This window comes from Homo sapiens, chromosome 6 (genome assembly GCF_000001405.40).
Source record: "Homo sapiens chromosome 6, GRCh38.p14 Primary Assembly".
Taxonomy (NCBI): Eukaryota; Metazoa; Chordata; class Mammalia; order Primates; family Hominidae; genus Homo; species Homo sapiens.
The window spans coordinates 129,924,439-129,941,098 of NC_000006.12; the positions used below are offsets into that span (position 1 = coordinate 129,924,439).

General features: G+C 35.0%; 1 long non-coding RNA gene across 1 annotated transcript in view; it reads left to right on the forward strand.

The window, feature by feature from the left end:
* Positions 1 to 16,660, forward strand: part of LOC105377999 (uncharacterized) — a 92,281-nt gene that overhangs the window by 68,811 nt on the left and 6,810 nt on the right. Inside the window, exons 6-7 of the long non-coding RNA XR_942986.3 lie at positions 13,174 to 13,286; positions 13,403 to 13,586. This is a non-coding gene — a long non-coding RNA (uncharacterized LOC105377999). The remainder of the gene's footprint in view (positions 1 to 13,173; positions 13,287 to 13,402; positions 13,587 to 16,660) is intronic.

Genomic DNA, 16,660 nt, shown 5'->3' on the forward strand with positions numbered 1-16,660 from the left:
ATCTTGTATGCAATTTGCATACATGAATTAAACTTTTTATACACAAATTGTAGCAATATATCCAATGTACTCTGCTATCACAGTTTATTTAACAGCTCACCTTCTTAAAGTATTTGGTTGTTTCCATCTTATTGGTAACAACAGTGCTGCAGTGAATATCTTTGTACATATGTTTCTGCCCACATGTGCAAATTATAATGAAAATGATGTGCCAAAGAGCATGCACATTTTAAATTTTAATTGATGCCAATTAACTTCCAGTGAACATACACCAAGTGTAGGGGGGAGCGCCAGTTTCCCCCATACCCTTGCCAAAACAGTTTGTTACCAAATCTGTTGATATTTGACAGAATAAAGGTGAAATATGATGAGATGCATATCACTTTCATTTTAACTGGCATTTTTCTTATAGTGATGTTGAACATCTTTTCAAATGCTTAGTAGTTGTACTTCCTTTTTATTTCTGGACTGTTTGTATCCTTTTACGATTTTATTAATGGTCTTTATAAAAATTTGTTTCTAGCAATTTTTATATGTGAAACTATTAACATTCAGTATATAGCAAAACATAAATATCACCACCAGATTGTATATATCTTTGGACTTGGCTGAAGAACTTTGGACGTGTTGATTTTTAAAATATATTGAAAGAAAAGTTTTCTCATCTCTGAGCATACATAAAAAGCTGTCCATTTTCTTCTAGTAATAATTATAGTTTCATTTTAGTCTTTAAATGTTTGATCCATCTGGAATTTATTCTGGTAAAAGATGAGGTGAAAATTCAACTTATTTTCAGCTACTTAATTATTCCAGAATTATTTATTAAGCATTCTATTTTTCTCCAATGATGTTAAATTTCTCCTGTATTATTTGCTAAATTTTATTTGGAGATTCTGTTTATAAGTCCACTCTTGTATCTCACTAGTCTATTTGTATGTACATGTGCCGTTACAACACTATTTTAATTACCACAAATGGTAGAATGAATAGTCCCTCATGGCTGCATTTTTCTCACAGAATCTTCCTGAATATTCTTGTATGCCTATTTTTCATTTTGTTTTGTGTTTTTGAGACAGGGTCTCACTTTGTCACCCAGGCTGTAGTGCAGTAGCCCGATCTTGGCTCACTGCAGCCTCGACCTCCCAGGCTCAGGTGATCCTCCTGCCTCAGCCTCCCAAGTAGCTGGGATTACAGATGCGTGCCACATGCCTGGCTAATTTTTTGTATTTTTTGTAGTGATGGGGTTTTGCCATGTTGCCCAGGCTGGTCTCGAACTCCTGGGCTCAAGCGATCCACCAACCTGGGCCTCCGAAAGTGCTGGGATTACAGGCATAAGCCATCATGCCCGGCCATATGCTTATTTTTAAATGTGATGTTTACAAATGTGTTTAGTTAAAAAAAATCTATTGGTATATTATTGAGATTGTGAAAAAAATACCGATTAATTTTGCCATGATTGGGTATTTATAACATACCTTGTACTGAGGTAATGCCTTTTTTGTCCTTTAGTAGCATTTTAAATTTGCCTTTATAGGGTTTTCACATTTCTTACATTTATTTTCAGGTATTCTATCTTTCTGTTGCTATTATATTTTCAAACTGGTTACTGTTTGTTTATAGAATAGCCCAGTGACTTTACTAAATTATGTTGTCAAGTAAAATGCTTTAATATATCTAATCCTATTTTATTAAGAACATTTTTTGAGATGAAGTCTCACAGTATATGTTTAGCATTTTATCAACTATCTTTTAAGCATCTGCAAATATGAGTATACCACTTTTCTCCTTTGATTTATTAACGTAGTCAAATATATTATATTTCCTAATAATGAAACATTCTTGCATTTCTGATATGAGCCTTATCTAGTCCAAATCTATTATATTATGCTTTTAAGATAGGATCAATTTTACTGGCTCATTTTTTATAATTTAAAAAATCAATTCTCATAGTGAAATAGATTTGTTGTTTCCTGGTTTCATAATATCTTTCTCGGGTTTTAGTCTTGGCATTGTTCTAGTTTCTTAAAAGGAATTTTCCTATTTATTTGTTTTGGAACAGTTTAATTAGCATTGTAGTTCTCTGTTCTTTTAAATTTCAGAAAATCAGTGGCGAAATACCTGGGCCCTGTACATTTTTAGGGAGGAGAGTGGGGATGAACTTGCTTTTTGTGAGTTTTTGCTATTTTTATTATATTTTCTACTTCTGTGATTAGCTTTATCTATTTCACAGAGCTTATCAAATTATTTGTCATACAGTTGATTAAAATAATCCTTTATAATTATTTAAATGCACTCTGTATTTAGGTTACTTTCCTAGCTTCATTCCTAATTGACAAACTCCACCCTTTTTTTATCTTGGTTGGATTAGCGAATGCATCTCTGTTTTATTGTTTTCTTTCCTTGTTTTCAAATAATCGACTCTTAGATATACTTAGTATTTCTATTGTATTTTCTGTTTCCTAATGCATTTATTTCTAAATCTTCATCTTTGTTATCTTAAAGCTGTAATTCTTATTAATGTGCAAATATTCTTAGAAAGAGACATATTGAAACTGTTAATAATCATTTCTATCTTAGGATAAATGAGTTCCAGATATTGTCGTGGGCCTAGGTTTTGGAAACGGGAAAGGATAGTTATTAGTCAAGCAATTACTTGAGTCCTAGAGAAGGGGATGGGGGTGACAACAAGTATAATCATGGAGTTCAGAGTCTGGGGAGATACACATTTCCCATGTCATAGAGCCTCTCTTTACACATTCATCAGAATGTGTCCCTGTAACATCACCACACAATGGTTTGGTGTTCCAGGGAAGCAAATAACTTAGTAGGTGTTGGGAAAGTGCTTAAATAAAAAACATGGGCTTCAGTGACATAAATTATGAAACATAAGTCATGGTACTTTTTGTTTTTCCATAGTATAAATTAAACAAAACCAGGAAAACAGCTTCATAGGGAGGCTTATATCTATCCAATAAAATTCCCAGTCAGGATATTTATTCACTCAAAGGCGCTACCAGAAGGGACAGAACAGATGGATGACACTGTGACAGCCCAGGGCTGCCTAAGACAGCCATGGAGTCTTCCTTCTCCCTGCACTGCTCTCCTTTTTCTAATTGAAGTTTGAATACCATCTTGCATTTTCAATATTCTTTTGTGCACTTCTATTTGATCCTAATAACAACCTCGTTTATTAGACTTTTCTTGTGTACTCTCTCACATCCAACCAAACACGTCTTACTACCCTTTTTTTTTTTTTTTTTTTTTGAGACACAGTCTTGCTCTGTCACCCAGGCTGAAATGAAGTGGCTTGATCTGTGCTCACTGCAACTTTTGCCTCCCAAGTTCAAGCTATTCTCCTGTCTCAGCCTCCCAAATAGCTGGGATTACAGGTGCGTGCCACCATGCCTGGCTAATTTTTTGTATTTTTAGTAGACACGAGGTTTCACCATGTTGGCCAGGCTGGTCTCAAACTCCTGACTTCTTTCTCAACTTTTTATTTCCAGGGTTTCCTTCTGAGTTTAGAATTTTATTGTTTCATTTCCAAATTCCTGTGGTAGTCTTCCATCATCCTGGAGGCGCGATAGGCTAGCTGTTGAAAAACAACTCCTGAATCTCAGAAGTATAATATGATAAGGCTTTATTTCACAATTACATCATAGTTTAATACAAGGTATGAGTTGGGGTAGGGCAGGGTCAAAAATTGTCTATGTTGTCCTTCAGGGACCTAGACTTTATATATCTATGGCCCCACCCCCCTGGAGCCTCAGAGTTCCCCACTGTATCCTCTGCCTCTGGCTGACAGATGAGAAATGAGAAAGTGTGTGGACAATTGTGCAGGAGGTTTTCAGGGCCAGAGCCTGAAGGTGGCATACGTGGATCCTGCCACACTCTATTGGCAGGAAGTCAGTCATATGGCTGCCCCTAACTGTAAGAGAGGCTGGGAAATGCAGTCTAGTTTTGTGCCCAAGAGGAAAAGAAAATATATTTTGGTGAAAACTGCATACTTGGACACAGCCAGCCTCTCTGCCCACCTATGTTGCATGTTCTACCAGATTAGCATTCATTCAGTCATTAAACAAACATTTACTAAATACCACTATCTGCCAGCTACTACGCTATGCACCATGAATACAAAAATGCATAACTTCTAATTTTGCCTTCCTTGGAACTCACAAGCTAGTGGGAGATAAGAATACTAAAAAAAAATGTCTACATTGAGTTAAGTACAGTGGTCCTCCCTTATCTGCAGGGGATACCTTACAAGACCCGCAGCGGATACCCCAAACACAGATAGTACAGCACCCTATATATGCTGCTTTTTCCTATATATGCATACCTATGATGAGGTTTATTTATTTATTTATTTTAGACACAGAGTATTGCTATTTTGCCCAGGCTGGTCTCCAGCCCTGGGTTCAAGTGATCGTCTGGTTTTAGCCTCCCGAATGGCTGGAACTACATACATAATTTACAAATTAGGCACAGCAAGAGATTAACAATAACTAATAATAAATAGAATATTTATAACTACATACTGTAATAACAGTTATGTGAATGTAGTCTTTCCCAAAATATCTTATTGTACTCTATTCACATGACAGTAGTTTCTTCACCGGCAGACTCAGCCTCTCCAGTAATTTTTATATTTTTCAGCCCAAACATATTCCCGAGTCTGTATAACCACCCCTCACTCGCAATAAATGGCTGATGTCACTTGTTTCTGGGGATCCCTTGCTGAAGTCTTCCTACAGGCTCAATGCTTTCTGGCACAACACATTGCTGTGAATCGGAACATGTTGCATTCATGTCTTCCACCCACATCTTTAATGCCTTTTCCATCATAATTAAGCACTTATTACACACTGTGGCCATAACTTTTGCAGTTTTAGATGCAGAATAAAACTAGCACAAACATCTTTTTCCTTCTTCACAATTTCACAGATAGAGGATTTGTCCTTACCATAGATCCAAATCTATGGTATGAAAACTAAGCATACAATATTTTTTTCTTTCCTTATTAAGTCAAGGACTTTGATCTTTTTATGTAAAGGAAGTACTTGACAGCTTCTCTTTGTCATACCTAAATTGCCAGCTTCACTACTTTTGTGCTTTGAGGCCATTATGAAGTTAAGTAAGGGTGTCTTGAACACAAGTGCTGTGATGTCACAACAGTTGATCCAATTATCCAGCCAGCTACTAAGTGACATGCGCAGGCAGCATCTACAGTGTGGAAATGCTGAACAAAAGGATGATTCATATGCCAGATGGGATGAAGCAGAACCTGCTGCCAAGCAATGTCTTAGCCTCTAGTAATGAGAACAGAATGAATATTACCCTGATCTATCCTTCTACTTTGCTCCTTGCCTAGACATATGTAGGTTGCTTACTGAGCTGTCGGGGTCATGATTTGACTTACCTGTAAGTCCAGGTTGTGGTACACTTCAGGTCACCAAGGACTTTTACTGATTCTTCATCTAACAATTTCAACTTCAAAGCTATTCCAAGCTCTGGACAATCATTTTGGAAATGATCTATTGGTGGCTGCTGCTGGAAAAGACCATCACACAAGACTATACCCTTCAATACTGGTATGGAAAAGTATATGAAACTGCCTTTCCTATAAGTAAATGGCTTCTCACATTATCATTTGGTATTCAACCCTGATCAGCACAACATCCATCCCTGAGAATGTCATGGGAGCTAAGGAGACATAGCATTCATTTTGGTTTACGGCCATCAGTGTTGCCCAAGTGCCATATAGGGAGTCTCTCAGGCCATGCTATCAGTGCCCAGGGTGCCAACTAGGAATGCCACCTATTAAGAAGTCTTTTCAGAAAAGGAACCAGAAAAACTGCCTTTGTATTAAGATAATGAGTAGACACGCAACCTTAGGACCAGCAGAGTCTACAGCAGCTTCTCACTTCAGATCAACTGAATCATAATGAGCATATAGCAACCTGCTCTTTTAGATGGGTTTCAAATCACCAACTGCTAGACTGTCAATACCACAAAGTTGATGTCTTATACTCCTATATGGATGAATATCTGGGGTCTTCAAAAGCCAACACATCCAGGAGAACTGTGCCCCTAGAGAGCTTAGAGGTAATACAGTCCCACATAGAAATGAAGGGCCACCTTAGGAGATGGCAGCAAACCATTGTCTACATCCAGGAACTCCTTCTAGAACCCAGGAGTCTCTTAACTTGGCACCTGAAGAAAATATGGGTTAGAAGCTTTTGCTTGAGCAATAGACCTGCCTCAGCAGGCAAGTCTTAAGCCCAATTCTTTCATCTGTCGTGGCCATGGATCTCTAGTGCAGTGTTCAGAACTACACAGAAACTTCAAGGATGTGTTAGAAGATAAATTTTAATCTGTGCATTTTTTATTTAAAAGCAAAGAGAGCCAAAAAGCCTATAAATAATTTAAAATTGAATGATGAAAAACATTTAATTATCCCAAAGAAGAAAGAAAAGAAGGAATAAAAAATAATTATAAAATGGTGAACATTTCCCAAACATTAATCACATTTTTTTTTTGTAGCTGGGATTACAGGATTGTGCCACCATGCCTGCTAATTTGTAAATTTTTGTAGAGGTGAAGTCTCACTATAATGCCCAGTCTTGTCCTGAACTCCCGGCATCAAAAGATCATCCTGCCTGGGCCTTCCAAAGTGCTAGTATTACAAGTGTGAGCCACCATATCTGGACTACTTTAAATTTAAATGGACTACACATACCTAATAAAACATGAAAACTGTAAGAATGAATTAAAAAAATGCAAGACTCAACTATATATGGCCTATAAGAGATGTACTTTATTTATTCATTTATTTTTATTGTTATTACTTTTTAGCTTCCTCGGGCTGAAAGAGATGCACTTTAAATATAAAGACAAATCGATTCGAAGTACTTTCTTAAGGGAATAATAGAAAGCCAAAATCAATGGAATAGAAAACAGACAAACAATAAAGAAAATTAATACAGATAAAATTTGGTTCTTTAAAAAGACAAATAAAATTGATAAATCTGCATGTAGCCAAACTGTTGAAGGAAAAAAGAAAGATAAATTATTAATATTGGGAGTAAAAGAGATAATATCATTACTCCAGATCCTACATACCTTAAGGATGATAACGGAATATTATAAATAACATTACACCAATAAATTCAGTAGTTCAGATGGAATAGATGGATTTTTTGACAAAAATAGTTTACCCAAACTGATACCATATGAAATAAAATCTTTTAAAAATACTATGAAATAATAGTAACAAACAACATGAATATAATAACAAATATAGGGTTATAATAATTATAATATCTGAGTTGTCTTACATCTATTAAAATTTTTAATTACTTATCAGAAAGTTTCCCACAAAGGCCCAGACAGTTTTACTGGTGAATCCTATCAAACATTTAAGGAAGGAATAACAACACTCTTACATAAACTATTTAAGAAAATAGAGGAAAAGAATACTTCCCAACTTGTTTTATATGGCTACCAAAGCAGTGATACCAAAATCTGACAATTATGTTCAAAAGAGAAAAAAAGAGGCCAGGCCTGGTGGCTCATGCCTGCAATCCTAGCCCTTTGGGAAGCCAAGGCAGGCAGATCACTTGAGCAAAGACCAGCCTGGGCAACATGGTGAAACCCCATCTCTACAAAAAATACAAAAATAAGTCAGGTGTGATGGCATAAGTCTGTAGTAGCTAGTTGCAAGGCTGACGCGGGAGGATCACTTGAGCCCCTGAGGTTGAGGCCGCAGTGAGTTATAATCACGTCACGGCACTCCAGTTTAAGCGAAAGAGCGAGACTTTGTCTCAAAAAAGAAAGAAGAAAGAAGAGAAAGAGAGAGAAAGAAAGAGAGAAAGAAAGAAAGAAAGAGGGAGGGAGGGAGGGAAGGAAGGAAGGAGAGAAAAAGAAAGAAAGAGAAAGAGAGAGAGAGAGAGAAAAAGAAAGAGGAGGGAGGGGAGGAGAGGGAAGGAAAGGGAAGAAGGAACAGGGAGAGGAAAAGGAAGGAAAGGGGAGGGAGGGGGACATTAAAGAGAAACAAAAAAATTACAGACCAATATTCTTCATGTATGTAGACACAAAATTATTTTTAAAATATAAGTAAATCAAATCTTGAAATACATGTAAAGGATGATACACTATAACCAAGAGGGGTTTATCCTAGGGCTTCAATAAATGAGAGAAAAAAATAAATGTAAAATAGGTGAGCAAATCAAATGTATACGGTAAGATGGCAAAAGTAAATACAAATATAAATAATTAAATGAAGGTAATTGACCGAATATTAAAAAAAAATTCGGACTTCCAGAATGGACTAAGAAACAATAACAACATACCTCATAAATGCAATGTATATTAAGAAAACAGCAACCATATGTAGTTTCCTATATATAACAAAACAGAAAAGTTGAAAGAATGGGAAAAAAATCACACAAATTAAATAAAAAGAAAATTGGTGTAACTCTACTACGGGTTGATTATCACTTATCTAAAATGCTTGGGACCAGAAGTGTTTCAAATTTCAGATTTTTTTGAATTGGGGAATATTTATATGTACATAAAGAGATATCTTGGGGATGGGACCTGAAGCTAAACACAGAATTTATTTGTTTCATATACACTTTATACACATTGTATTTTGTACAATGTTATTAATAACTGTGTGCATGAAACAAGCTTTTCACTGCATTTTGACTGTGACCCATCACATGAGGTCAGGTGTGGAATTTCCTACTTGCGGTGTCATGTCAGTGCTAAAAAACTTTAAGATTTTGGAGCATTTTAGATTAGGGGTACTCAGCCTGTACTAGCAATGATAACAGACTTTAAGCCAAAAGGCAGTAGTAGAATTAATAACAAGAAAGCTTCAATTCACTGGGAATGTTTAACAATTCTAAATTCATATGTACCTATAATATTTACATGGCCTCAAAGTATATAAAACAAAAATTAACAAGAGCTACAAGGAGAAATAAAAAATAATGAATATTTGCCTCATTTTCTCACTTGTTTTTAATTCACTGAATTATGTTGTATTTTGTGCTCATTTGTTAGTTGGTTTGAAATTTTTTTAGGACAAACAGGGATACAGCTTAATTAATTGATTTTAAAACTCTAATAGTGAGACCTCACCTAAATTATTAAAATTTATCATCATGGTCCCTAATCCCCTTCTGAGAAGGAACTGGAAGTGTGTTGTCTTGGTAAGAAAGCCCCTCCTTTGGGCCTAGGACCTCTCAACAAATGCTACTTTTTAATGAGACTTTCCTCTTTTGGTCAATAGATTACCCGTAAATTAATTGAAGCCTTAGGCCTTGGATATAAAGCAAGTAATGTGACTTCATTAAAATACTAAAGTTACAGTGACAATACTATCTTTGAAATTAAATGTAGGAGTTGCATCTCTTGTTTTTATTTTCATTTTAAATCTTATTTATTCTTTTATTTGCTTCTTTTGAAGTTTATTTAATGGTAATGCACACAAGAGATACAAGGTTGAAAACACATGAATGGAAATATTTTTTAAAAATTCATCTCTTTGGCCTCCGCTACCCAAGCCCCAGTTCTAAATTGTACAGGTAACCCATGTTACAGAAAGTTAGACTACCCAACAAATGTTCTTCACCTCGCTTTTTTTTTTACTATTTACCCTAGTCACTATTTCATATCAGTTTATCGAGTGGGTACCACATTTTTTTTAATGTCCTGCATCCTGCATAACATTCCTGCATGGATGAAGCACATTTATCTTACCTGCCCCTTTGCTATCACAGACAGCATTGCAATGAACAGCATTGTATACATACCTTTGTGTTCTTGCTGGAGTGTATTTAAAGAGAAAATTTTATTAAGTGAGTTGGGTAAAACGGTACAAATGTGCGTTTAATTTTGATAAACATTGCCAAATCATCCCATAGTTAAAAGTTCTACAAATGTACTCTCCCAACAATTACTGAACGTGCTTGTGCCCCTGAACTCTTGCCAGAACGGTTTATTATTACAATGTTTATCTTTAGCATTCTGATTGGTGAAAAATAGTTTCTTGTTGTCATTTCAAGAAGGACTATTCTTATGAGGGGGTTGAGTATCTTTTAAAAATACTATAAAATAATATTAACAAAAATATGAGTATAACTAATATAGTGTTATGATTATAAACACAATAAATCTATCATAAATATGAAATAAGTAATATAAGATATACTATTTGTCAAAAAAAATTGCATTACCAATCAGATGAAAGCCACTGTATACCCTTCCCTAGTTGAATTTCTCTATCTCGTTATTTCAGAAGTATTTGCTACCTTGAATTTAACATTTATCATTTTCAGGTATTTATGTAGATCTTGCAACACATTTATTTACTCCCAAATTACATATATTTGTGTATATGTGTGTGCATATAAGTAGTTGGCATGTTTTTAAATTTCATATAGTGTCATATTGCAAGTATTCATCCTGCAGTGTGCTTTTTGTCCTCGACATTATTTTGTGATAATTCACTCATGATATTTATGCAGCTCAGATTCATTCACTTTCTACTGCTCAGTAATCCATTGAATGAATATATAACCATTTATTTATTCTACTATTGATGGTCCATTTAGGCTGTTTCCAATTTTTGCTCTTTGTGACAATGCTACTATGAACATCATTGTAAACATCTCTTCATCGACATAGGAGCAGACCTGCTGGGACCTGCTGGGTCACAGGGTTTGGATTCTTCAGCTTTACTACATATTGCCAAGTTGCTTTCAAACGTAACTGTTCCAATGTATGCTTTCATCAACAGTATAGAAGAGTCCTCTTGCTTCACAGTTTTGCCAAACTTGGCTTTAGAAAATATTAATTTTTTGCCAATAGGATGCATTTGAAACAAAATTTCTTACAGATTTAGTTTTCATATGCCTGATTATGAATAAGACTACACATCTTCACAGATGTGTAAAAGCCATTTGTGTTTTTCCTTATGTAAACTACCTGCTGTGGTGTTAGCTCATTTTTTTCTATTAGGTTATTGTTTTTTGTCTTATTTTTAATTGCTTTGTAGAAAGATTTTTATTTTAGGAGATTAGGTACCTGCTACCTTAACTATCATTTTTTACCATCAATAGTTTTTCTAGATTTTCTTTTTTCTTGTGTCCTTATTTATAGTACCTTTAAAACCAACTATTTAAATTTATATATTTTATATATATTTACATAAATATAACTTTATATAAATGTGATCACATATAGGCATTTTGTATGTGTGCAATGTTTTTCCACTTTTTATGTGGTTTTCTCCTTAGTCTCTCCTACTTTTCCCCTCATGTGGCTTCCCTGTTCCCCCTACAAAGATAACTCATATTATAAACTTTACATTAATTATTCCATACTTTTACTGCATTCAAATGCCTCTATACGACTTGTACATTTATGTACATACTCTGCAGGATATTTTAATTTTGTCATTATTTGGTTTATAAACATGCAATTATGCTAATACAAATTTTTTTTGCTTTTTATATTTTCATTTAACAATACTTTGGGAAAATACCTCTAAGTAAAACTGTGTGATTCTAACTCATTTTTCTAATGGCTCCTAAATTTTGTTGTATCAACAAAAATTTTGCTAAGCAAAAATCACAGCATAGAAAGTTACAGGGACCTAAAGAAGGAAAATTGTACTTAGTCAAGATTTTATAAATATATTTTGGATATGTATATGCATGAACTTTAAAGTGACATTAAGAGGTACATTTTACTCCATAAAATTTGTTGTTGTGGAAATTAAATATATGAATGTATATGTACTTCTTTTGCTTATATACTTATGTATCTATATTATATATAATTTTGTATATGTATTACATAAATATATTTTTTATATATTAGAGATACCTATCATATATTATATATTTATGATATTTATTTATATTATTTATATATCTTATATGAGGTAAATATATATTTATATATTACATAAATGTATAGTATATATAAGCATATACTATATATGTGTAATATGTGTATACTATATATTGTGTATATATCTATACACACACATAGAGAAAGTGAGAGAGACAGAGAGAACAGAGCCAAGTGATAGGAAGTACACTCTATTCCTGGCTCAGTAACAGACTGTGTGGAAGTGGGGGAATAATTTCACTCTGTGGACTTCAGTTATCTCTCCTGTAAAATGGAGGATAGAGTCAGGACATAGACGGCTCTTCCGACGAGGTCAGAGTTCCTCAAGGCAATTTAGGAGGAATCCAAGGTTTGCCAAGGCTTTGCATTCACCAGCTGACATGGCGCCACCACGTGGTAATAGTGTAAACAATTTAAAATGTATTGGATCCGTCAGCTTTTAAACATGATTCATCAATGTTTAATTTGAGGAATTAAGATTATTTAAACTTTGGTGCATAAACTGAGACTTTATTAATATGTTTATTTTTCACTATTTGAAATTTGCATAAAATGTGACTACACTGTATAGACAGGGAAGTTTTGAAATCTAACATTGTTTCTGTAACACAGAGTAACAACCAACTACATTTAAAAATGGGGAAAATATGATAATAGAAGAATTATTCACATCAGAAAGTATATTTTAAACAACAATATACAACATCTTTAATAGCCATATGGTTAAAAAAACTTTTCAAAATGCCTAAAGTTCCTGAAATTAGTTTAGTGAGTGGGGTAAGCGCAGAGTTGGGTGAAAAGACACAAGAGTACCTCAAGAACTTTTATTGTTAATATTATATTATCGTTTAGACTTCAAAATATTTGGGATTTACACTAAACTGAAGCACATTACACAATCTAGTAGTGAGATAGTAAGTAGAATCAAAATAGAGTATCAATTTTGTTTATTTAATATTTACATACGTATTGTCGTTTATTGAAATAACTGTATCAACTCTTGCTGCTTTTAGATATTTGATTCGTTTTTTTAGTAAATTATTAATTTTAGTACAGTTTTAGATTCACAGAAAATTTGCAAAGAAATGAATTTCCATATACCCCGTACCCAATTTTCTATGTTAGCATCTAACATTACCATGGCTCATTTGTCATAACTAAATAACAAACATTGATACATTATTATTAATTAAAATTTGTACTCTATTCAGATTTGCTTAATTTTAATCTAATGTTCTTTTTCTGTTCCAGGATGGCATATTACATTTAGACATTATGTCTTCTTGTGTTCCTCTTGGCTGTGACAATTTCTCCGATTTTCCTTATTTTTGAAGGCTTTGGCAGTTTTGAAGAGTATTAGTCAGGTATTTTGTTGACCGTTCCTCAATATGGGATTGTGAGATGTTTTTCTCATGATTGGACTGGGGTTCTGGTTACTTGGAAGGAAGACAACAGAGGTAACGTACCATTCTCTTCACAGAACATCAAGTATTCATACTGTCAACATGACCTGTTACTATTAATAACCATGATCTTCTGTTAACCTTGATCATCTGGCCAACGTAATGTTTTCCAGATTTCTCCATTGGAAAGTTACTCTTTTTCCCACTTTGCCTGTAATACCCTTTGGAAGGAAGTCACTATGCAAAACCCACACTTAAGAGGTAGGTAGAGAGCTATACTCACTTCCTTAAGTAGGAACTATGAGCATAAGTTACCCAGAATTCCGTATATTTGTCTCTTTTCCACATTTGTTTATTTATTCAGCTATTTATATTGGAAGAACTCATGAATATTTATTTTATACTTTGGATTACAATCCGTTACTACACTATCTATCTTGATGCTCAAATTGTTCTAGTTTGGGCCATTGGGTGTTCCTTGAGGTTGACTTCTCCTTTCCCTTTGACACACTCCCATCGTTTTGGTTTTGAAGCACTTCTTTACTTCCTGACACTACAAGATGCTCCAAGCTCATCTTGTATATTTCCTGCCCCAGTCTTAGAATCAGCTATTTATTCACGTTCTGGTTCATTTCATTTGAGAATGGTATTAGAAACCAACCAAGATGTGGGCACGAGGCGTGACTTTTGTTGACTTTGGATCCTCCCTCTGTATGTATTTACATAAACGCTTTCCTCTCCATGTCCTGATCATCTTAAAACTGAGCTTGTTTTAAATAGAGCTTTGAAATTTTTAAGAATAGTTTAGTCAATAAGACTTCTTGCACTCTTGCTAACTATTGTTTCAATTATTGCTACTGTTAACACCACTACTCCACTAATGGTAAAGTTTGTCACTCTCAAATATGAATTCCGGATAAAAGCTTTCTGGAGAAAAATATATGAATTATTTACGCACTTTTCCTCACTACATTCCTTTTCACTAAATCAGCAGCCAACAAATATGTGTCTCTAAGGGAATAAACAGAGCTGTGTGTACATATGCATACAGGTGTTTCCCTTTAGGCTTCTTATTGGAGCACATTGCTAGAAGAAATCTGCCAAAATTATTAGACTTTGATTCACTTGCAAGCAACACCTGTGTGTTCTCTTCATCTTTACATTTCCAAGGCTTAGCTCAATGCTTGATACATTCCAGAGGTTTCCTAAAGGTTTGCCGAATAAATTGCAGAGCCCCCTGGAACATGGTGAAGTTTACCATCAATCATTTAAATGCATCTCAGGGTTTGTTTTGTTGTTGCTGTTGTTGTTGTTGTTGCTGTTGTTCTTGTTTTGGGGGGGATTTTTTGTGATAAGTTTTTGTTGTACTTTATCTGCTTGTTTTTGCTTAGGAAGGCTTCAGTGACAGTAGTTAAAGAAATTGTGGTCACTATCACATTTTTTTTTTTTTTGGTAGAAACTGATTTCATCTCTCTGATACTGTTTTATCTGAGCCATGGTAAATTAATCACAGTTTTAGGCTTCTTCTTCACTGGTAAAATAAAGCCCAAACTGCTCATTTAAGAGAAAATGCTTGGCCAAAAGAAGCCTGTAAAACCAGAGTGTGCTTTTCCTTGATTCACAGTAAAACATGAACCCTTTATTTGAGCTCTTTATGACATGGAAAAGCATTTCTATGTATTGTGTTGAATAAGCTATTCTTCCCCCGGATGGTATTGAATTTAATTAGAAGAAAATATCTTCATGAAAATAAAGCTTTAATGATATACTGCTTCATTTTAAGACCATAAGTCATCGTATCCTCTAAATGGTGGGATAATGATGCTGAAACAAAACACTAAAGAGGGAAAAAGTTATTCATTTGGTGTTCAGTCTTTCTGTGGAAAACGTGTGTTTTTATTCTTTATCTTCCTTATATTTTTACTTCCAATTTCCCACTTAAAAGAAGATTCTCTTGTATGTTCTATTTTAATTTTACTCTAGATTCAGTACAATTTCATAAAATGAAATTCATTTAAATATAATTCAGGAACCAAGCCATCTTGAATGAAAGTATTTTGAGACAGCACTCAGGGTTTCAATATAAACACCGCCATCATCCATCCATTCATTCATTCATCCACCTATTAAAAATCTGTGTGTCTGTTGCCATCCTGGTGCTGAGAAAACATGAGTGGGAAAGAGAGATTCATCACCTCAGCAATTCGCAGGGAAGAAGGAAAAAGAAACTGAATAACGTAGTAGGATGGTCCTAGCTGAGTGAAAGAGAGCATGAGACCTGGATATGACCTGAAGTCTGGTTATATAAGAGTTTGTATGAGATAGCCTCCAAAGATAAAGTATTGTGCACAAGTGTACAACAAACGGGGTAGGTGAGAACTGAGACAACCTGCAGTCTTGTCTCTGGGCACTAGTGTTTTTCTTTTTCTGTCTTCTCTTTTTAAATAACAATTAACATTTATCAAGTGTTTGCCCAAATCTGGACACTGATCTGAATATTTTGTGTGTTCTTAGTTAATACTTCATTCTTCACAACAGCTCGTCACAACACTTGGTGCACTGAGACAGATTCTGTGTTGCCTGGAGTAGGCATTGTAACTCTCATTTCCATTTTGCAGATAAGGAAACAGAAGCACAGAGAGTTTACATAATTTCACTAAGATCATGCATCCCCAAGTGTTGTAGCCAGGATGTAAACCCAGGCAGCATGCCCCAGAGCCTTCCTCCTGCTCTAATAATGGTCTGCACTACTTGAGCTTTAAGGAGAGGGGAGCAGCAGGCACAAGCAGAAGGAGTTGTTTTTCCAAAGGGCTTCATGAGACAGGTAGAATCAGTGAAGAGGGGAGTGTGGGGTGCACACAGTGCTTCTTAGGTCTGTCAGGTGGCAACAGGTGACCTAGAGTCGGAGATTGAATCTAGCCTCGCTCCTTGAGAGTGACGGGGTCGGGAGCCCTGAAATCCACACATCTCAGAATGGATACCATTATCATTTGGAACAATGGTGGCCCTGAGACATTCTCTGGAAACTTCAGAAGCCCAAGGATAGTGACAAAGAGGGAGAGATGTTGGGAGGAATCAGGGTACGGATGGCATGGATCAAGAAAATAAGTGTAACCTAGAAGATACTCTCTGGGAACTGTTCATGATGCTGGGTGTGTTGATACAGCTTAAAGGTTATTTCAGTGTGGGGGACGCTTTGATGGCCTTGTCAAAAGTGTGTAAGCATTGCTTTGTTAGTTATTGATTTGTTTTCCCAAGCAGTGCATATGACATCCCTGAACCTTTCTCTGCTTTCTAGGTACACCATGATTATGAGAGATTTATGTTTTTCACTT